Source organism: Homo sapiens, chromosome 15 (assembly GCF_000001405.40).
Source record: "Homo sapiens chromosome 15, GRCh38.p14 Primary Assembly".
Taxonomy (NCBI): Eukaryota; Metazoa; Chordata; class Mammalia; order Primates; family Hominidae; genus Homo; species Homo sapiens.
In genome coordinates this window covers 33,463,158-33,487,092 of record NC_000015.10, presented here as the reverse complement: position 1 = coordinate 33,487,092, position 23,935 = coordinate 33,463,158, and the positions used below count along the sequence as shown (strand labels likewise).

Genomic DNA, 23,935 nt, shown 5'->3' with positions numbered 1-23,935 from the left:
CCAAGTAGCTGGGACTATAGATGCCCACCACCACACCTGGCTAATTTTTGTATTTTTAGTAGGTATGGGTTTTTGCCATGTTGGCCAGGGTGGTCTTGAACTCCTGGCCTCATGTGATCCATCTGCCTCGGCCTCTCAAAAGTCCTGGGATTACAGTCATGACCCACTGCGCCCAGCCATCCATCCCAAAGTTCTCCCTGGGCACCACTTCTCACTCTGAGCCTGAACAAATGAAACTCAGGTCCTCCCAAAGGACCCTGCTTCTCTTGGGGACTTCCTAATCACAGGATACTCATTCTCTCACCAAATAACTCAGGCTCACAAGGTGGGGCCTATGCACTTCTGCTGCTCAGCACTGGTTTTAGATCATTATTCTTCTACAAACTGTTAACTCTAAGATTTGCAAACCTGGCAACATCACCCTCTACTCCCCTCCTCTTTGATGTTTGTGTACTTTGACCTATTATTCCTTTACTGAAATCTGTCTTCTCTTCATTTCTGCTCCTAGTGATTTGAACATTCATACTGATATATGGTTTTGTGTCCCCGCAAAAGATATGTTGAATTCCTAACCCCCTGTACCTGTGAATATGACCTTATCAGATATAATCAAGTTGAGATGGAGGCCCTCTTACAAGGTGATTGATGTCCTTTATACGAACAACAAAATGCTATGTACAGGCAAAGACGTGCACAGAGAAAAAAGCCACGTAAAGATGGAGGCAGAGACTGGGGTTATGCTTCCACAAACCAAAGAATGCCTAAAGCTACCAGAAAATGGAATGGGCAAGGAAGTATCCTGCCCTAGAGACTTTGGAAGGAGCATGGCCCTGATAACACCTTGATTTCCAATTCTAGCCTCCAGAACTGCAAGAGAATAATTTGTTGTTTTCAGCCATCTAGATTGTGGTAATTTGTTACAGTAGCCCTACTAATGAATGAATATTCCATCTTACAACTCCTCAGTTATTTGGCTTCCTCTTTATCAACGATCTTCCACGCTCCAAGTCAGTCACACCCTCTCATGGTCATACACCTAGGGGTTGTTTCTATGTCCTCTACTCTGAGACCTCTGACTGAGACAGGCCACTGTCTAACCATGTACTCATCTTCCAACTTGCTCGCTCACTCATTAAACTACTCTCCCTACTATTTATATCCTTTATACATTTTCACTCCTATCTTTTGTTCTTTCCTCATTCAACTTAAATTCCAAGACTCCATGGTCCAATCTCCTCAACTCTTTTGCCCCTTTGTTGTTTATCATACTTGCCTGGCAACACTTTGATCCTGGCTGAATTTAACAATCCACTTTCTTCATGCCTGTGCTGGGACTGCTGCAGAGAGTGACACAATCTAGAAAATGCGTAGCACTAAAAATTCATGGTCGTCATCCTCAAGTGGTCTTCAACCCTATGCTCTCACACTATTTGGAAATGCCATTATTCTTCTCTAGGCAGCTCCCTCTCCAAAACTTTCTGCACAAAAACCTACAGATCCACCCTCATCCTTGACGTTTTCCTTCCTATTCAATGAAACATGAGTTCCTCATTTATCTGAAAGTCAGTTCCTTGTCTCTGTTCTTAACACCAGGCCTTTCCACTGTATCGGCAATTTTGCACACTGACCACCTCTTCCCTCTCCTGTATCTCCTCTCTTCTCTTTTCCACATATATCTTCCCCTCAGCATTTAAACATTCTGAAGTCTTTCCTATTTCAAAAATCCTTCCATTCTAAGACCCTATCCTGCCATCATTCTCTTTCAGAGATGCCTCATTGGTTGTCTTTATTTTCTTACTTTCTTCTTATTGCTCAAGTTCTCTAAATTGGCTTCTGTCCTCACCACATGCCATTGAAAGAGCTCCCTCCAAGGTTGTCACTGGCCTCCATGTCACTTTATCTAATGGACATGCCATCTTCTCCAAGTGGTATTCTACCCTATGACTATATTCCTTCTTGATATTCTTCTCTTGATTTCTGTGACTTCTATGACACACATGCCTATTTCTTTTCTGATCTCTCAGGATGTTCCTTCTTATCGTTTATTTCTCCATTCATTTTTAATTATTGACATTTCCCAGGCCCTCCTCTCTTTTTAATAAACATTTTCTGTATTCACTCTCATAGTGTGATTTACCAATTCCTTTACTAAGGAGTTACTTAAGCCAGTAACTCCTGAACATTACTTCCATCCCAACCTCTCTTTTGAACTCTTAAGTCATATATACAGATGCCTACCAAAATTTTCTGTTGGATGTCTTACAGGCTTTTTGAATTCCACATGACTAAAATTTAGTTCATAAATTCCATCTCCTCCCTCTGTCTTCCTTTATCCCTCCTCCAATATATGCCCTATTTCACTCAATGATATGTCAGCCAGTTACAGGCAGCTAAAACCTATAACTCTAGCATCATACTTGACTCCTCCTACCTTGATCCCTTTGCCACTCCATGAATTGTTACCCATACCTGAATTCAATGTAATCCAAGCCTATTCATCTCCTATTCACATGAGGAATCTATACAATGATCACAAGTCTATGTTTTCCTTCAGCAATAAGTCCCTATACATGTTCAGCTCCCATCCTTGCTACTTCAAAATCTGTGCCCTCATCACCTATCTTTTCTTTTGCATATGCCAAAACCATACTCAATTTAATTCCCTCTCTAGTAGTGCCATCTATTAGAGAGGAAATTAAATTGAGTGAAGCTTTGGCATATGCCAAAGAAAGTTCTATCTTTTGCATATGCCTATAGTTCTATCTTTTGGAACCTTCTCTTTCCTTTTCTAGGGCCCTTTTCTTCTCTTCCTAGAAACATGCTTGTGTCTCTTATGAAAACTTTTTCTTTACAACCTTAAAACTTTTTCTTTATAAGACTTCAATTCTACTTCAACCGTCATTTTTTTTTTCTCTTCTTCATTTAAACACTCAACTTCTTTTAAAGAGCAATGAATACTCATTGATGAGGTTCTGGTTCAGGTAATGGTGGAACTACCTATAGCAAAATAATCCTCTTGCCAATAACAATGATACATTCTGGATAAATATTTAAATAAATAACTATTTGAAGGCACCAGGGAGCAATCTAGAACTGAAAGGAATATTACTTTTTAAAGATGAGAAGTCAATCAGGTGCTATAAACATTTAATTAAATTTTCTTCTAAGGGTACTCTCCTGTTCATAGGATCCATGGGGAATAGATGTCAAGAAAAAGGCTTCTAGGAAGTAAGAGACCTGAGTATGGGGCTACCAGAATGTCTGGAAATAGAAGAGGAGAAATGTTAGGAACAAGGAAACCACCATAGATTAATAAAACCCAAGATCAGTATACAAATTCCCCTCAATTTGTTTGCCAACTCATAAGCTATATAAGACAGCATTGCTAGAAAGCAACAGCTAAAATGCTTAGAATAAGCAAAAGTTTCAACAGCTACTTATTTCTGGAATGGCAAAATTTGGTTTTCAAGTCTGGCTATTTAGAGGTGTTTAGAAAATACTGCAGGCTTTTCATTAAAATCCCAAAAGACTACATCTGGAGACCAGGAACAGCACCTTAGAACTAAGGGCAAAATTTAAATGGAGCAAGCTGGCACAAGATGAAGGAGACACACTAGTAATTTAACTGCCAGCTACAACAAAATACAATATTCCTCAGGGGGCAGACAACAGAAACCAGAATAACTATAAAATATCATCTACAATGTTCAGTATAAAATTTAAAAATACTAAATATTAAAGGAAATAGGAAAATGTGACTTATAACCAAGAGCAAAGTCAGTCATTAGAAGCAGACCTACAGACATTCAAGACGTTGAATTGGTAGTCAAGGATTTAAATAATGATTATAAATTTATTAATGAATTTACCAAAAAAATGGGAATAATGGGAGAAGAGAGAGATAATGGAAGGGGAGAAAGAATAATGGAGGAGAAAGAAGAATCTTAGAAAATAAACAGAAACCTTAGAAATAAACAACTGCAAACTTTAGAATTTAAAAATAAAAGCCTGAAATAAATTCATTAGAGGGGGTTAATAGCACATGTACATTAAAAAAGGGAATAAATAAATATAAAATAGGTCAATGGAAAGTATTCAGGCAGATGCATAGATAAAAAAATAGTTGAAGAAAAAATGGATAGAGTCATAGTGACCTGTGGAACAATATAAAACAATCTAACATATAAGTAGTTGGAGTCCCAGGAGAGAGTAAATATGGCACATAAAATATTTTAAGAAATAATGTCCCCCAAATTCTATACTTAATGAAAAACAACAACCAAAAGATCCATAAAGCTCAGCTCATCAAAATCCAGGCAAGATAAATTTAAAGAAAACTACCCTCAAACACATCATTCAGATTGCTAGAAACCTGACTGGGCACAGTGACTCACGCCTGTAGTCCCAGCACTTTCGGAGGCTGAGGTGGGAGGAGCACTTAACGTCAGGAGTTCGAGACCAGCCTGGCCAACATGGTGAAACCCTATCCCTACAAAAATACAAAAATTAGCCAGGCATGGTGGCTTGCGCCTGTAATCCCAGCTACTCAGGAGACTGAGGCAGGAGAATTGCTTGAACCTGGGAGGGGGAGGTTGCAGGGAGCGGAGATGGCGCCATTGCCCTCCAGCCTGGGTGACAAGAGTGAAGCTCCATCTCAAACAACAACAAACAACAACAACAACAACAAAAACCAAATTGCTAGAAGTCAAAGATAAAGAAAAAAATGTTAAAACTTTCCAGAGGAAAAGGTTTGTTACATATAGAAGAATGATGATAAAAATGAGAGCTAACTTTACATCATAAACAATGGAGGCAAAAGGGCAATAAGATGCCATCTTCAAAGTGCTGCAAGAAGAAGAAAAAAAACTAAATAATGATTTTTTATCCAGAGAAAAATCCTTCAAAAACAGGGACAAAATAAAGACATTCTCAGTGAAAAAGAAGCTTGGAGAGTTTGTCCCCAGCAGATCTGAAGTATAAGAAACACTAAGGAATATCCTTCAGGTTGAAGGAAAATGCTACCAGATAGAAATCTGGATCTAGAGGAGAGAAAAAAAGAGCACTGAAAATGGCAAATACATTAATTTTATAAAAGGTTCTTCTTCCCTTTTATTTCTTTAAAAGACTATTGACATTTTGAAACAAAAATAAAAATGTGTTACACATTTTAAATGGGTAGAAATAAAATCTCTGACAATAATAGCACAAAAGATATAAGGGAATTTGTATAAATATGAATGCAAGGAAAACTGTGATAAGTTAACGATTTATATTTTAATTACTAAAAAAAAAAAAAAAAAAAAGTATTCAAGGCCAGGCCTGGTGGCTCACTCCTGTAATCCCAGCACTTTGGGAGACTGAGGCGGGTGGGTCACCTGAGGTCAGGAGTTCCAGACCAGCCTGGCCAACATGGTGAAACCCCATCTCTACTAAATATACAAAAAATTAGCTGGGCCTGGTGGCAGGTGCCTGTAATCCCAGCTACTTGGGAGACTGAGGCAGGAAAACTGCTTGAACCCAGGAGGCAGAGGTTGCAGTGAGCTGAGATTGCATCATTGCACTCCAGCCTGGGTGACAGAGCAAGACTCTGTCTCAAAAAAACCCAAAAAAAAAAGTATTCAAAAATAATACTAAGAGGTAGAGCTAAAAAGCCAACAGAGAAGATAAAATGTCATAACTTTACTTTATTTAAAGGCAAAAAAGGAGAAACAGAAGAACAAAATCCAGAGGAGACAAAAGAATAGCATGAAGGTAGACTAAAACCTGAGTATCTAATTATTACAATAAATGTAAATGAATAAAACATTCCAATTAAACACCAGAGATTGTAAAATGGGGTAGGAAAACAGTACTTACCTATATGTTGTTTATAAGGGATACATTTTAAATATAAAGATATAAATACATACATAAGGTAAAAAACTGATGAAAAAGATGTACCATATAAACAGTAAGCATAAGAAAGCTTATGGCTACACTAGCATGAGTCAAAGCATACTATAAGACCAAGGACAAATAGGACAATTTGATAATGACAAAAGGATCAATTCATCATGAAAAACAAAAATTCTGAATACACATGCACCTAATAACAGAGCTTTAACATACATGAAACAAAAGTGACAGAACTAAAGAGAGACAAATCCTCATAGTTTTTAACACCTTTCTCTCAATAATTGATAAAACAGCAGACACATTTCAGTAAGGACATAGAAGATTTGAACACCCCTTTTGACCATCTTGACATCCATAAAACCTACATCCAACAACTACAGGACACACCATGTTTTCAAGACACCTGAAACATTCACCAACATAGACCATATGCTGGGCCATAAAATAAGTCTCCATACATTGAAAAAGATTGGAGTGATACACAGAATGTTTTCTGAGCACATCAGAATTAAAATAAAAATTAGTAACAATTAAAACTTATATCCCACTGATTCATTGTTTAAAACATCCACTCACTAACACTTTTTATCTAACTCCCTCTGACTCTCCTTAATATTTTACTTTTAAAAGTCACAAATATCCTCCTGATTCTTACATCCAGGCTTTCAAAAATTCAATTAGTTAATTCAGTACACATGGGCAACTTAACTAAGCCAATCAACATTTTCTGAGGACCTAATATGTGTATGACCCTGTGCTGATACTAAATGCTACTGCTTAAATATAGCACTTCTGATGTGTTAGGAACTGCTGTAAAGCATATTACAATTTTGAACCTGTGTCACTGAATCTTCATAATAATCCTATGAGATGGGTACAGTTTGAAGGATGAAGAAACTGAGGCAGAGAGCAGTAAAGTCATTTGCCCACAGTCACACAGCTAAGTGTTGGAGCCAGAATTACCAGTCCAGGCAGTCTGACTCCAGGGTCAAGTTTATTAAGCACTGTGCTATACAGAGCTATACAAAAGTCCTTGATGTCAGTGCTCACAGACTTGTGGAAAGGCAGAAGAAAAGTCAGATAAACTGTCACAAATTAAAGCAGTAGATGTTTTGCACCCCTCCTCCCCAGTCTTACCATGTCTGGGTACCTCTATCCCAATATAGAGGCACATAATAATCTGCCTTAGATCCCTTTAGAAACTTACTTTGAAGAAAATACATGATATTCTCATTTATATTGTAAAATATTAGCTGTACAAAAATTTAACACTGCTTTATGGCTCACTCAAAGCATTTGCATTTTACTAGTTCCTGTTTGATTTAAGCAAAATATATATTTCTAACTTAGGAATGCCAGACAGTCATAGGACAGATGTAGAAAAGTTGTGGGAGGGGTATGGAGATGTGCCCAGGCATTTCTGAAGTCTAATTACATGGAGTAATATGCCTTCTTTACCCTTATGTAAGCTGGATCCACGATACTCTTTATTTCTGAATATTACAGAAATTAGACAGTGATTCAGGTTTGGAATGAACAATCTTCATGAAGTCACTTAACTCAGTTTAAATTCTTACACCTTTCTTCTCTGTAAATGAGGACAATGTTTGCTTTATAGAGTCATAAAGAGTAAATGAAAGCAGTAGGCACCCACGGCATTACTTGGGACATAGCGCATGATGCCTGATAAATGTTAAAAAAAAAAAAAAAAGTCAAAATCTCAGCTTATATGCCTCTTCATATTACATGATAAGGGAGTTTTTTTTTTTTAAAGTTTTATAATAGCCTGGTCTTTCATAAGATCTCAGGTCCATAGAGAATACTATGTACTAACATACATCAGAAGTTCAAAGAAGGCTGTACAACCTTAGGATGAGTCTGTCTCTGCAAATCTTCACAGACTTAATTTTTTAGGAGGAAACAGTAATCTCTTTCTCAGCTAAAGAATCTAAAAATAATAGAAAATAAGTTATTTTTAGCCAAAGATGCAATCTTAATTTATGTCATCTACATAATGATGTTTGTACAACAGCTAATGTTTAATCCTGGGTCTTCAGAGCCTACATAACTCTCAAACAATAGCACACTATTCCATCATTCTGCAAACAGGAGATGAAAACAATAAAATGAAAATTTCCATTGGATTTGAAAACTGTATTTTTCAGTTTGAACAAGCCATGATCAGTAAGAAAGAATTCCTCAAAAAAGAAGTGGGACTTCACTGTTACATACCTACAGCCTCAAGACTTTAGACATGCCACTGGCTTTTTAAAGGGCACTAAGGTAAATTGTTTTACTCCACCTATCTTAGTTTCTTCTTCCTTAAAATCAATGAAACAAACCTTGGTCTGTTGAAACTTATTTTAAACAAAAAATAGTTCTCATATTCTTCCCATTTCTTGATGATGATCTACTATTAAGAAAGGTGGAAGTTGGGATTTGGAAGGGTATTGGGGTTCCGGATATATCTAACAAGGCCATAGTAGTTAAATAATTGTCATCATTGAAGATTACTGTGGGGTAAGTGTTATGACTTTTTAAAACTCCTTTTGCATGAGAATTTGACCTTCAGTTAACTCTCCAGTTTTGTTCCCATGGTTACTTGATACAACCTGTATGTAAGTCATGTTACCAGGGTACATTGCTTGTGGTGAAAATGATCCCTGATTGATAGCCTGCATGTGGACTGGGAAGACTATCAATACGTATTTTAGAAGGGCATATTCTTGGAGTGCAGCGACTCTTGTAGCTGGGGCTGCCTTTGTGGAGTCCTCAAAAGCTATGCCTATGGAATTGTTACAGATATATTGGTTCCTATGGTACGTGAGGCTTTTAAGCCATGGTGACTCTCACACCTGCCTGACGTGGACCCTCTCAAGCTCTTTGTACCTGAGCTGTCATCTGGGGATTGGAAATCCAGAAGCCAGCCCCTGAATTGCTATAGGGGTTTCTGCCGAAATGCAGTACTTGACACATCCCAGCTGGCAAGCCATGGTTTCTGTCCTATGTCCTTCTGAGAAGACTGATGCCAAGTGGTCTATGAGAGTCTTATGAGTATGGATGTAAAGTTGAACCAAACCACCCCCCCCAACCCCCTCAAGTGGACACTGCAGATACAGAATAGATGAGATATAATGTGAAGGACCAGAGGGAAAGTATTAAATTCCTAGTGCCTAGGAACACATTTTCTATTGAGTAAAAAGGAAAGTAAATAAACATTTGCTATCGATAAAATGAAAAAGAAACATTTCCTCTCTCTTTTTTCTGAGTCTCTGGTAATAGCCCCTAGTCTTTTTTTTTTTTTTTTTTTTTTTTTTTTTCTTGAGACAGAATCTCGCTCTGTCGCCCAGGCTGGAGTGCAGTGGCGCCATCTCCGCTCACTGCAACCTCCGCCTCCCGGGTTCATGCCATTCTCCCGCCTCAGCCTCCCGAGTAGCTGGGACTACAGGCGCCCGCCACCACGTCCGGCTAATTTTTTGTATTTTTAGTAGAGATGGGGTTTCACCGTGTTAGCCAGGATGGTCTCCATCTCCTGACCTCGTGATCCGCCCATCTCGGCCTCCTAAAGTACTGGGATTACAGGCGTGAGCCACCGCGCCCAGCCTTTTTTTTTTTTTTTTTTAACAAAACAAGATACCTTTAAATTCCTGAACCTTTGCTTATTTGAAAGGGAGCTGAATAATAGTGCTTCCATCAATTAATGGCAGTTTCAGGAGACCTTCAAGGAAGGGTGGACCATGGCATACAGGAATCAAAGTCCTGGGAGACTTCCCAAGTGCTAAATACTCTTCATGTCTATAGCAAGTGTTAATGATCTTATTATACTCATGCCCTTTATTCTTCTATCCTCTCACTCCTTTGCTTCCATATGATCTCCTTTTCTCCGGGTCACACACCAAGAATAGTTTTTGAACACTTTATCTCTTTTTTTCTCTGAGGTCTTTCTTCTCCATAGAATTCATCTCAATTTTCTCTGAGTCTCAACTAGCTTAAAACACCCTTGACTAGAAATGCCCAAGGTCACCGGTAGGCTCTGTAGCCAGCTGAGAAGAAGGATATTTGATGTCTGTGCCTCATGCCCAGTGCCAAGCTTGGAAACATACCTCCTCACCTCACTGCATGACTTCCATTAGGATACAAGAATCTAAGAATGGTACAGCTCGTTGAGAAATTTGATGGTAGAGAATTAGGGCAACTATTTAGTAATAAGGGAGAAGACAACCAGCCAAAAGAGAGGGTTGCATAGCTGCAAATGACTGCAGGAAAGAATGAAGCTCTTGGAACCCAAGTTCCTCTAGCAGACTGCTCCCAGGAATGGTGACAAGAAATTCTGAATATCTGCTCTATCCTTACCGTGAATTTGACCCTGTTTCTCTGTGAGAACCCTGATGGCGCACTTCCCTCATGCTACATATAAAAGGGGCACACTCATGCAAGGATGGTGGGTATGTCAACTGTAAACAATTTATCTATCATTTTGGGAAAGCAGTTTAATAGTGTTCATGCTTCCGACACCATTAATTCTACTCCTGGATATTTACTCCCGAAAGCCAAAATAAACCAAGAAAACCATAGGCATATTATTTTTTTACCATTCATGAAGACCATATAGCAATATGGAACTGGCTGAAATAGTAAAGAAAAAACCCAAAACAGAGAATGTCTGAATAACCAGTATGAGTACAACTTTGAAAACAGACAGGTACACGTGGGCAAAGGCTAGAATGAAAAACAAATGAAAATAGTTGTGACAAAGTGGTAAAATTATGGATGACATGTATCTCTTTTTAAAATTCTTCAGTCTTATCTTGCTTGAAATTTAGAATGACAAATTAAAATAAGAACAATCACTTAGTTAAGTGGATGTTAGGAAAGACATTTCCTCATCCCCAATTCATCTATGAGTGTATGACTTATCGTTTCTATGCCTGAGGGATACAAAGCATTCTCAGATTACAACACACTGTTGTTTCTAATCTAGCTCGGGTAAAACAACGATAAATACAGAGACATGTTTATAGAATTATATGATAGTTACATGAATTTGTAATTCCAAGACTTTCATTCTAAACTCAAGATTTTGTAAGTTCAGGGGCTGATCCGTGGTCTTTCTGTCTTTTACACAAAATCAGACCTTGTAAGTCAAAAGGGATAACAACTTTATACTTAGTATTATTATCAACTCTAGCTGTTAAGTGTACTGTATTAGTTCAGTATTATGTGCTTTATATATATTATTTCTCTTTATTTTCACAGTCCCCCTGAAAGGTAATTAGTTTTCCTTATTTTAAAGAACAAGAAACTAAGTCCCAGTTTAAATGTCTTGTACAATATGAAATCATAATAACCAGTGGTTTTATCAAGCTTACAATGCACTAGGCGATTTACGAACCCATTTGATCCTGACAGCAATCTTATAGGGTAGTTACTATTAAATTCCCATTAAGCAGATGAGAAAACTCAGCTCAGAAAAGTGAGGTACCTTGTCCAAGGTCCTGGTTTAGCCAGCAAGTGGTAGAGACAGGATTCCAACTTTGACAGTCTGGCTCACAGCCTGTGCCCTAAAGCAGGGTCCCCAACCCCTGGGGCCATGGACCCAGTTCATGGCCTGTTGGGAACCAGGCTGCACAGCAGGAGGTGAGTGAGGATTACTGCCTGAGCTTTGCCTCCTGTCAGATCAGTGGCAGCATTAGATTCTCATAGGAGCATGAACCTTAATGTGAGCTGTGCACGTGAGGGATCTAGGTTGCACGCTCCTTATGAGAATCTAATGCCCGATGATCTGAGGTGGAACAGTTTCATCCTGAAACCATCTCCCACCATCCGTGGAAAAACTCTCTTCCATAAAACTGGATCCTGGTGCCAAAAAGGTTGGGAACTGCTGCCCTAAAGCACTGCCCTATACCCTACTCGATGGATGACTAGAAAAGGATACCACTTGTTTTCTAATTTAGGTCAACACACTTCCCATTGGATTGTCCTGCACCTCATTTGGCAGATGAGAAAATTGCAAACATGAGTGACTGACTTGTCCCACGGTCACATGAGTAGCTCATGGTTGAGAATTAACTTCTTGACTTCTAATCTAATGACCTCCCTATTATCCCAGACTGCCGGGAATGAAAAACAAAACAAAGCAAAACAAAAAAACAAAAAAACCTAGCTAAGAACAAAAGCAAATGAGAAAAGGCCTTAGGAAAATCAAGTCAAAGATCTTTAAAAAGATAAAAATTTTCCTTGTCTCTCTTCTATCCCATATATTTTAATGGGACTCTGGTTCATGTCTATCCTTATGGATCCACAGATCAGTGACCTACAAGGGAGGGAGAAGTACAAGAAGGCTTCTGGAGGACGTGGCCATCACCCTGGACATCTGGTGTTACAGATTTTAGCCAAACTCTCTGTGTATGTCTGTGTTGTGTATGTTTATGTGGAAAATGGCATGCCAATAGGTGGGTCTTTTGGAAAATGTTACCAATTTCTGATTTTTGTTTTCGGTTTTTTTAAAAAAGGTTCTGTGAGAAAAACTGAGCTTAGAGGGTGTGATGGTGGGTTTTATGTCAACTTGGCTAGGCCATAGTGCCGTTATTCAGCCAAACGACACCATAGGTTTTGATGTGAAGGTATTTTGTAGATGTAATTAACATCTGCAGTCAGTTAACTTTAAGAAAAGGCTATTAGCCTTGATAACTTTGGTATGCCTCATCCGATCAGATGAAGGCCTTCAGAACAACTGAGATGTCCTAGAAAAGAAGGAACTCTACCTCAAGATGACAGCATTAACTCCTGCCTGAGTTTCCAGCCTACTGATACTAACTACAGATTTCAGTCTCACTAGCCCCTACGACTGCAAGAACTAATTTCTTAAAAGAAATCTCTATACACTTATATACTTACCTACCTACCCACTCACGCACTCACTCACCCATCCACCCATCTGCCCATCTGCCCACCATCCATCCATGCATCCAGTTGACTTTGTTTCTCTGGAGAACCCTGACGGATATAGAGGTTTTCCCAGGACTGAAAAGCACTGCAAGAATGCTGAGCACATAGATCCACTTGACACACAGATCATGAAAAGCAGAAACAGCCTGAAAATGGAGAAAGAAAAGTTCTGCTGAAAAGACACAGCATTATTGCCACCATGCAGGCGGAGACCAGTGCAAACATTACTCTCTGCCCTCGTGTCACAGTGGGCAGACAGTTACAACAATCTCAGCGCAGTCAGAACTGAAAGGGGTGTGCTCACTGTGAAACACAGGCTCAGGCATCTGTGAGTCTCTGTAGCAATAGAACAACAGCAGGGAGTAAAGAACACACACTCAGATTTCTAGGAATTAACAGCAACAGAAAGGCATTCTGGGAGTATTAAGACCTCCTCGGTCAGCACTGACAGTGAGCTCAAAGCCTCCCCAGAGTCCTGGACAACACTGACAGGCAAAGCACCTCTAATTCTTCATAGTGCTCTGGGTTCCTACATCAACGATTCCTAGGCTTGTGGAAAGTTATGGTTTAAACCAGATCTGCTTCCCATTTAAAAAATAAATGTGTCCTTTCAAATGTCGTCCTCATCACCATCTCCCAGCAGTATCTCCCCTAAATGACTTTGTCAGACGCCAAGGTGGAAGAAGGTGTAGGGCGGACAGCCAATCTCACCTTGGCTTCTGAAGTGGGTTCCAAGAAGCACAGGCGATTCCCAAGTCCCTCGGCTGCCAGGCAGAACTTCCTCTGCTCCTTATGAATGGTGGCGATGCACTGGAGTACCACTTCATCCTCCTGCCAGGAGAAGAGAGACCCAAACATGAGTAAGGGGAACTGCTGAGCCAGGCCCCGAGTCACCTTCCTGTACCTGAGTCAGGTAAGCCACCAATCCCTGACAGCCACGTGCTTTTTGTTTTTATTTTTAAACCTGATTACGGAAGGAGATTTTTTATTCACAGGACATCACGGAGCATCTACCGTGAGTCAGAACTCTACTTAATCCTGGAGTGAGGTCAGTGGGGGCAAGTACACATACAGCCAAGGCCTCACTTCTGAGAGCTGTGCAAAGCATATGGTCTAGGTGAGCTGATGATTTCAACATTTGGGCAAATATGAAAGCAAATTTATACAATCTCTCCAAATATAGAATAAAACAATAAGATAGGATTGAAGGGAACAGAGAATACAGACAAGATCAGAGCAAGGTGGGATGAGTGGAGGGAAAGTGTTGGGGTTTCAGGTTGTGGAAGAGGCAAAGTATGTTTTGTTGGAGGAAGGCAGTGTATGTCGTGGGCCGCATATTTGCCAGAGATGGTAGAGGAAGATATGGAGGGTGAAGGAGATGGGTTTTAGACTCACAGAAAAGGAAGATTAAAGATGCCTTGAAGATCAGGTAAGAGGAGGAGGAACTGAAGGTCAAGTAGAAGAACTGCTCTGAATTCTCAAGGAGTAGACCTCCCTCCTAAATATCAATCCCAAAAGCAGCCCTCCTAAAATTTCAGAGGCCCTGGAAAAGAGGCAGCCCTCCATCTACACCAAAACATTTTCTTGCACAACCCTCCCTGAGGTGGAGAGGAAAACAGTTTCCTTACTAATCCTTCCATTCCTGCCCCTCCTATCTGTCAGGCCATGCTCCCTAGTCACCACCACATAGCTTTGGATTTCAAGCAGCAAACAGATTTCCAGGTGTGGTTAAGTTACGGAAGTGACCTGGGGGAGCCAGCTGGAGCCTCCCTCCTTCTGAGCATCTGGCCATCCATTGCCCCATCTCACCTCCATGTCCTTCAGTGTCAGAGATTGTCTTGTTGGAAAGTGTCACCAGAGTGTTGGAAAGGCAGATTAAGTAGAAATCATTTTTCTTAAACTGTGTCTAGAATGTGCCTACGAAGTGAAGAAAATAAAATGGTCCCACCTGGTGAGAGTGCGAAGCAATTCACGATTAACAGACCCCTACAAAGATACCTGCTTGTGCCCAGAGATAGGTGAGGGGCTGCAGGGGAATGCGAGAAGCCACAAGTTGTAGATGTATGAAACGAAGAGTGGAAAAACATAGCTCCACAGTTTTACTAGCACTGAAATGTCACTGTTCATTATCTAAGTGAGTCAGAAACAAATTCAGGAGTCTTTGCTTATAGTAAAATCAGAATTCATGGTCTTCATTTTAATTGAGACTGAAGAAAACTCCAGAATATCACTGCTTTAAAAGTGGGGGTTTAGTGAAATCTCTGAAGAGAGTGAAATTTTTCCTCAGGTGGAGTGTGCCCCTAGATCCTGTATCAACCAGGGGCGTTAGGATCCTCCTAATGGCATTGGTGGTCAGGGGCAGGTAATGAGGGGCTCTTAGTTGCCAAGATGACTGAGATGTGCTGTTTGTGTTGGAAAGCAGGGGCCATGGAAGTTAAGTCATCAGCAATGCAAGAGGTAGTACTCAAAACTTACCTTTCACACCCAAATCAAGAATACCCCCTATTGAGAAATAGTTATGTGTCTCCCCCACCACAGTTAACCAGTAAAAAGAAACAAAACTTAAAACCCCCCAAAAAACTAAAGCAACAACAACAAAACTCAGGCATTTAGAAATCAAAGAAGTGTAATTATGGATTTTTTTTTTTTTTTTTTACAAAGGCATGAAAGTTGACAGTTTTCCCATCAATGTGTGCCTCTGAGGTTCTCTTTTCAAGATCTCAATTCTCTTTCCCTTTCTATCCCCCAGGCGCCCAAACCACCAAGGCTTTGACCTTGCAGTAGCTGCCTTGGGGTCTCCCTAATTGTCTTCTGAAATTTCCCCATCCTATAAGTCACATCCCAAGCTGCCAAGAAACTGATACAATAACCTGCCCTGATTTAATTAATAGCAATTTGCAGAACAGCAGCCCTGCACACATGTGTTCCTAGGTTGGGGCTCTGGTGACACACAGATGGGTATGGGACTCTGGGCCAAATTGATGCTTCTCCAAACGATTTCTACTCTTTCCCACATTCTATCTGGAACCTTCTGCTCAACCATGCTGACCTGGCTGCAGACACCACCTGGAGTGGCAGCCTGCACCTGCCTTTGCTTCATATAGCAGCAATTATTTCCATAAACCTTCAATAGACAGACATCTGGAGCTTTTGAGTGCCTGACACTGAAATCTTTGCACTGAATTCTGTTTGGGATTATGAGATGAGTTAATTCAACCCATCTGATTACTCCTCTTGCTCCTGAGTAAAATACAGAACACAAGCTCTCCAATTAGAACACAAGCCTTTCTCTTCATCCCTGTACTGGTTTGCACTTTCTCCCCTAGAATTATCCTCCCTCCTTTTTTCTCATTTTGCTTTAAATCAGATCTGGGCATTGCTGAAGGATGTCATTTCCAAGGAAGCACCCTTACTCGAAGGCTGCAAATTCTTCCACATTTTGTATCTCCTTTTCCCAGAAGTCTGCCTACTTCTCACATGTCCTGATGCCAAATTTGGACCTTACTGTTCTACCCACGTGCAAAAACTCTTCAGTTGGACCTAATGATTTCCACCCTGTTTTGGTAGCACACTATCATGAACCTTCCATGTCATAACCTAGAATGATCCCACTTCTAAAATCCAGAACTGGACTATCCACCTTTACAGACCCATTTTCTCTCTTGCTTTCGCATTCCTTACTTTTACTAGATTTGCTCTATTTTATAAAGACTTCCAGTTCCTAGAAAGTGCTCTCATCTCCATTATTTCCTCTTTCTCAAGGAGGACTGTTGATTTTTTTTTTTTGATAGAGAAAATAACACAACTCTGGGGTTTTATGCCACTATAAATGTATGATTTCCTGGTAACTTATTTTCAGCTTGTTTCAACTCTATCTCACTGGAACAAGACCACAAAATTTTCCTTTTGTAGGCCTCACAGCAGATGCAACTCTGTCAATATAAAATAACCATACCTCCCATCTTTAAAAGAAAGAGAAACAAAATAAAGAGAAGAAAGTACTAAGTTAGAAGGTGCAATAATAAGCAATGGTGGTGGGGGCTGGGGGGACACTAAGACCTTTCAAACCCAGCCTCTGTCTTTTAGGATAAGAATATGATTCTCTTTAGTCATCGGGAAATACTATCATTAAGATCACATAAAGGTTTCCTGCTTTATACCAAGTAAGCCAAAATGTCTCTGCCTGGATTTCAGGTGCCCCACAGTTGAGTTCTACCTGACACCTCTAGCTTTGTCTCTCCTTCATTCCTATTGCCTTACTGTCTCCCAAATAAGTCATGCCCAGGATCCCTAAAATGCTCCTTCTTGAAACCCCTCCATTCCCGTATTCATCTCTGTATTCTTCTAGTGCTCCCGCCTTTCTGTTGGATCCTTCCCATCTCTATTTTCTTCTGCCATCCCTAAATATAAGGGACTGCTCAACGATTGGTCTTTGTCATTTTCCCTTGGCAATCTCATTCATTCTTCAGGCTTCCTGCTTTACTTCTGAGGAGCTGTTACTCAGTCTGTACCTCCAACCTGGTGGTACTCAAGGGTTCCAAACCTCCATCTATTTTTACCTGCGGACTTACAAACACTTCAAATCAACATGTCCCAGTGCACTGAAAGGCTTCTTTTTCAGTCTACCTATCCTTTTATATTCCCCAAGTTTGTCAAGAGCACATCCAACCTCTGGGCAACCTCAGCTTACACATCATTATCTCGTATCTCTGAGTCCTCCCCTTTTCCTGTATCACAGCAAATGGGCCAGCAGAAGGAGAGACTGGAGGTCTTGAGACCAAGACAAGGCTATTATTTGACCCAAAGCATTCTTCCCTAGTCTGCTACCAGAGGCATAGCTCTGGCCTTATTTTCTTGCTGAAAATCCTCAATGGCACTCTCAAAAAACATAAACTTCCTGAACTAGTATCTGAGGTTTCCACATTTCCAAACTATCATCCTAACTTCTTCCCTGTAGCGTTGGGTTTCCCTATTTCCATGCCTTTGATCATGAAATCTCTGAAAAGCTGCCCTAACTTGCCCTAGTTTTCCATGTCCATATATTACCTATTCTTCTAAGCTTAGTTTAAATGCCACATTCCTTTATGAAGCCCAAGTAATCTCTCTGATCTCTGAATTTCCATAGCAATATCACCATACTTTTTGCAGTGTTACTTACATGCATGCCTTCTCCCCCACTATATGTTTTTAAATGGCCAACATTTACTGATCCCTATGTGACAGGCACCATGCTTTACGCACAAGAACCCATTTAAGCTTCGCATCAACACTATGTAAGCACTATTGTTGTCTCCATTTTGCAAATGAAAGCCTGTATAGAGCAGTTACGTAACTTGCCTCAGGTCTCATGGTGGCAGGGGGCAGAGCCTGGTATCTAATCCAGGCAGCCTATATTGATGCACTTGCTACCACTACTTCCAGCTGACTTTGTACCCCTCAAAGGCAGGATCACATCTGATTCACATTTCTGCCTATCATGATACTCACCACTGTGGTATCTGATGTCTATTATGCACCCAATTATAATTTACAGAATGGGTATGTTTTTACACTGCAACCCTATTTAATTATAAACTCTATTAGAGCAGAAAACTTCTGCTTTCCCATCCAAGCTGGAAACATAATGTGTTTTGTAAAAATGTGTTAATTAACTGGGATATGGACTTGGATTACAAGAAATTTCCCTACTTTCACCCACATAACAGGGTCATTTTCATTGATGAGTCAGAACTGAATAATTGAATAAAAAGGGAACAGATGCTGGCATTTAAAATAAAACAATGAGGCTTTGGAGTCCATAGCTTCTATTTCTTAATTATTATTATTGATAATGATATCAACTATTCATTCTGGACTTCTGTGCCAAACACTATGCTGACATTTCCTCCTAGATTAAATTAGCCTTCACAACAACACAACCACTTTAAGAATGAGAAAACCAAAACTCAGAGGGGTTAGGTACATTTAATAACAGTGAATATTTAATGGCCAGTCACCATGTGCTACCATGTTATAGCATCTCAGTTTAATCCTTTCAATCATCCTGTCAGGTAGGTGCTAATATGCTCTATATTTGATAAAGTGGTTGAGGCACAGAAAGGTTAAGTCACTTGCCCAGTGCCACACAGCTTGTAAGTGACAGAGCCAGACCTTAAGCCCAGGACTGTCTGAATCAGGAGTCAGTTCTCTACCATGGCACCAAACGGGCTCTCTTACTCTAAGAGACTGACCTTAGCAATAGGTATGAATTCATGTCTGTCTGATTCTAAAGCCCATGGTGATGGTGTTGACAAAAATAGATGCTCCCAGCCCTGTCACATGATCAAACCACATTGAAACATAACCACATCACAGAGCACAAGGCCAAAGAGAGCAGCCAGAGTGCTAAAATAAATAAATAAATACAACAAGATTTCTCTATTCCCCATGATTGCAACACTGGAAGGGGTAAACATCAGCCCAAAACTTGCTGCAAAGGGAGAAAAATGAAAATCCAAGGTATATCATATGTCAGCCTCCCTCCAAGCTATGTGGTTCACACACGCCAGCTATTCCTGTCATAGATTCAGCTTGTGGTGGTGTTGAGTGATTGTCCCTGAACAAGGATATACAGCCTTTGGCTCTCTTTGCTTAGATTTCACATTGTCACAGGTCATCTCTGACAAAGTCAACTTCTTTCTACCGTCCTCTGGCCAAAGAACTTTGAACTTGAAAATGAATGGATCTTGCCTATTTTATCCTTACAGCTTTCTTTCTTATACCTTGGCTCGCAGCCTGAGGGCCAGAACAATAGAGAGCCATCTCTGCTGGCTCTGAGCTGATGGCTGGGGAACCTTGGCTCTCCCGCTTCTCTACGGGTCACCTGTGAGGAACTCTCTGGAACAAAACAAAATGGCTGACAGCCCTATTTAAGGTAGATCACCAGGCAGCTGATGACAGCCCTATAGTTAGATCTGCAAATCACTGGTACTGAGCAGCTCATGACCAGGAGCACGTGGGACAGAGTGCCATCCAGCAGATTTCATGTTTAAGTGCAGACATTATTACTGCAGAGGAAAATCCATAATGATGTATTGCTTTAAAAGGGAAGATGTTTCCTACCTACTCATCTTAAACATCAGGCACTTAGGGAACTGATAAAGTTAAGCTACTTTCTAAATATATGAAGATATGGGTGTGCACTTATTCTAAGACTTTACCCAAAAGCCTTTCTTAAATGAAAAATAAGTGGGCTTTTTGGAATGACGAGACTACACACAGATTATTTCACAAGAATGAATGACAAGGTCGTTTACTTGTGTGTTCTAAATAGCAATCATTTGGATTATTTGCTTCCTTCAATTCTAAGATCTTTAGGGGTAGGAGCCTCTCCTTTGTCTATGAATCTTCAGTGCCTAAAATACTACCTGGAACTGAATGGAAAAAGCACAAATATTTGTGAATTCAGTGAAAGAATCGTATGTTCTGAAAACGACTACTTATATTAACAAATATGCTTATGTATAAAAATTCCAAAATAAAGATCCTTCTTAAAGGAATCTATGATACCCTGTTTGCTTCTACAATAGACCCATGAGACATAGAAATATTATTAATCTCATTTTGCACACATTATGAAAGTAAAGGTTAACAGATTGAAGGAGAATAACTCGTCCAGTGTCCACCTCTCAGACATTGTATCTCCAGCAACAATGTTTGAAGTTTTGTTGTTACAACTTACTATTTTGGTTTTTGGTTTTATTATCCCTTTAGTACTTCTTATTGTCTTAGAATGTGTCAAAAGTTAGTGAAAGCTACCCATCTCCAGTTTCTTACTACTTGTTGTTAAAAAATGAAATAAAATGGAAATTTCAGGATACCAAGAAGCAAATTGACAGACTTATTTATCTTTCCTTTTTAAAATACTTTCTTCATTTGGCTTGTAGGATACTATTTTGTTTTTTCTGTTCACTAGCACCTCATACTCAGTCTCCTTGGTTGCTTCTCCTCATTTTCTTCCCTCTACTGCTACAGTGGTGCTCCAGGACCAGTCCTCAGAGTTCTCTTCTTTACCTGTACTCTCCCCTTCTTGATTCCATTTGGTTACATGGCTTTAAAAAACAGGTGTATTTTAAGGACTCCCAAGTTTGTGCCACCACATTAAACCTCTTCTCTGAACTCGACTTGTGTTTCCAAATGCTACTCAACATCTCAACTTGGATGTCCAATAGGCATGTCAAGCTTACTATATCCAAAATCAGATTTCTGAGTATCTCCCCACATATGTTCTTTTTGTAGTTTTCTTTATTTCAGAACATTGGCAACTCTATTCTCTGGGGTTGCTTGAGTGAACGGAGGGAAGAGACGGAGAGATGAAGAAAGGAAGGGAGGAAGAGAGAAACATCTTGAGGTCATGTGATTCCTTTCCTTCTCTTACCTCACATCCACACCATCAGCAAATTCTTCTCATTCTACTTTCTAAATATATGTGATTGTACCATCTTGCATCCTCTTCACCACCACCACCTAGCTCAGCCATCATCTCTTGTCACAACTATTGTAATCACCTCCAAACTTGTTTCTCACTGCTGTCCTCCACACAGTAGCCAGAGTCTTTTAAAAACCTGAGATCGCATCATTTCACGACTTGAAAGCCTCCAATCACTTTCCATCTTACTTAAGGAAAAGGCAGAATTCTTATCTTACTATGGCCTACAAGGTCCTAAAAAACGCCCATCTTGAAACGCAAAGCAAAACCTGTTAGACTGGCTATTACCAAAAAGGCAAAAGCTATGAAGTATTGGTGAGCATATGGAAAAAAGGGAACCTTTGCATGCTAGATGTACACTGAAAACCATTCCCTGGGTGGGACTGGAAATTGGTACAGAAGTTACGGAAAACAGCAAGGTGGGTTTTCAAAAAATTAAATATATAAATGCCATATGATGAAGCAATCCTGCTTCTGAATATAGATATAGATATCTATCGATAGATATAGATATACAGATATGTGTATATATATATCTCCAAAGAAAATGTGATAAGTATCTCAAACAGATATCTAACTCCCATGTTTACTGCAGCACATTCGCAATAGCCAAGATACAAAAACAACCTAAATGTTCATTGACAGATGAACGGATGAACCAAATGTGGCACACACACACAGTGAAATATTATTCAGCCTTAAAAAGAAGGGCATCATGTCACTTGCAATAACACAGATGTTATTGGATCCTGGACGGCATTATGCTAGCTGAAATCAGCTACGTGCAGAAAGGCAAGTACTGCATGATCTCACTTTTTATGGGATCTTAAATAGTCAAATTCATAGATGCAGAGTAGAATGGTGGTTGTCAGAGACAGGGGGGATGGGGACAGTGGGAAGATGCTGGTCAAAGGGTAAAAAGTTTCAGTTATACAAGGTAAGTAAGTTCTGGAGCTCTAATGTACAGCACGGTGACTCTAGTTGACAATACTCTATCTTATAATTGAGATTTGCTAAAAGGATGGAGCTTCAGTGTTATCACACACACACAAAGGTAAGTATGTGAGGTGATGGAAATATTCATTAGCTTGATTGTGGTGATCACTGCACAACGTATATCAAAACATCAAGTTGATACCTTAAATAAAAATATATCAATTAAATATATTGTTTATATTATATAGGAAATGCATTATATACATTATATATTAAATACATATTATCTATATTTGTATATATTTACATACATATAAATGTACATATATGTGTATGTGTATGTATATATATATGTGTATATATATATATATATATATATATATCTCCACCTCCCTACAGTCTCTCTTCTGTAACTCTTTTGCTTGCTTGGTTTTATCTATACTGGTCCTATCCTTAGAGCTCAAGTTTTTGAAGCATTATCCTCCCTCAAAACCTTGTACTTGCTGTTCCCTTCATGCAGGATGTGCTTCCCCCACATACCTGGAGGGCTCCCTCCCTCACTTCCTTTAGGTGTCTGCTCAAATGTTGCCTTGTCAGAAAGGCCTTCCTTGATCACACCATATAAAATTATAGCTCCATTTTCATGTTGCATTTCCAATCTTGCTTAATATTCTTTTCCAACTAGTATTTACCTCCTAACAATACAGGTTTATTTCTAATCTCTCTCCTCCTCATTAATAACCTTCATGCATATGATTCTGTTCACCATTGTATATTCAATGCCTGAAACAGTGCCTGGCATATGGTAGGCACTTACGGAGTCACTGAATGAAAGATTAGTCATTTTAGTTCTTACTAAGTAGTAAACCCCCAAAAAACCTGGGAATTCATTACATTCTTTTATGATTTTTGCTGAAAGTGTCCAGTCTTTGGTCTCATCTGGAATTGTTTGCTTATGGGGACTGACAAAAGAGGCACCCACAGCTTACAGGACCCTTTGGGCTCCAGCAACAGGGAGGACTGTTGTAATTCCTCTTTACAACTTTTCCCATTACCAAGAAGGCAGAGGTTGGAGCTTGAGCTTGACCATAAAAGCTACTCAGCCTCCCATGGCTTGATCTCTTATAAAACTTGCAAGGGAGAGCAAAGGAGAAAGCCTTTCCCTGAGTTGATTAGGGAGATGTAGCGGCATGCAGGCATTAGGGTTTACATATGCAATTAATTCTCTCTCAGGCAGAACATGCTGTTATGTAACATGGAAGAATGCAGTGACCTATTACCTATGACATTTTTCTCCAGAAATAATAATCAATTTGTTTAAGTTTTCTATTCTCATAGGTTGGAAAAATAATGATCTAGTTGCTACCCAGAGAATTTCAGGCCCCACAGAAGGATTTTCTATAAAATGGTAACACTGATATTCTGGATACATCTCTCCCACCCAATCAGAACACAGCAGGTGAGTGACCACACCCAAAAGCTTGCACACACTCCTTTGGTTTCATTATTCTTTGGATACAACAGCCATGGAGAAGAATGAATGGAAGAAATCTCAAATACTACAGCAAATCATAATTTTTACTCTCTAACCTCAGAGGTAGCAAGGGTCAGTAATAAAGTTATGGCAGGAAAGTTTTGGTCTCTGGTTCTAACATTGCTCTGAAAAAAAATTTTTTTTTTTTTGAGATA

At 39.6% G+C, this 23,935-nt stretch overlaps 1 protein-coding gene across 20 annotated transcripts in view; it reads right to left on the bottom strand.

The window, feature by feature from the left end:
* Positions 1–23,935, bottom strand: part of RYR3 (ryanodine receptor 3) — a 555,136-nt gene that overhangs the window by 379,010 nt on the left and 152,191 nt on the right. For all 20 annotated transcript variants that reach the window (XR_001751370.2, XR_001751371.3, NM_001036.6 and 17 more), the window contains exon 2: positions 13,555–13,674. Coding sequence is in view for 18 of the 20 variants with exons in the window: in NM_001036.6 (NP_001027.3) it covers positions 13,555–13,674 (120 nt within the window). In the remaining 2 variants the exon portion in view is untranslated. The remainder of the gene's footprint in view (positions 1–13,554; positions 13,675–23,935) is intronic.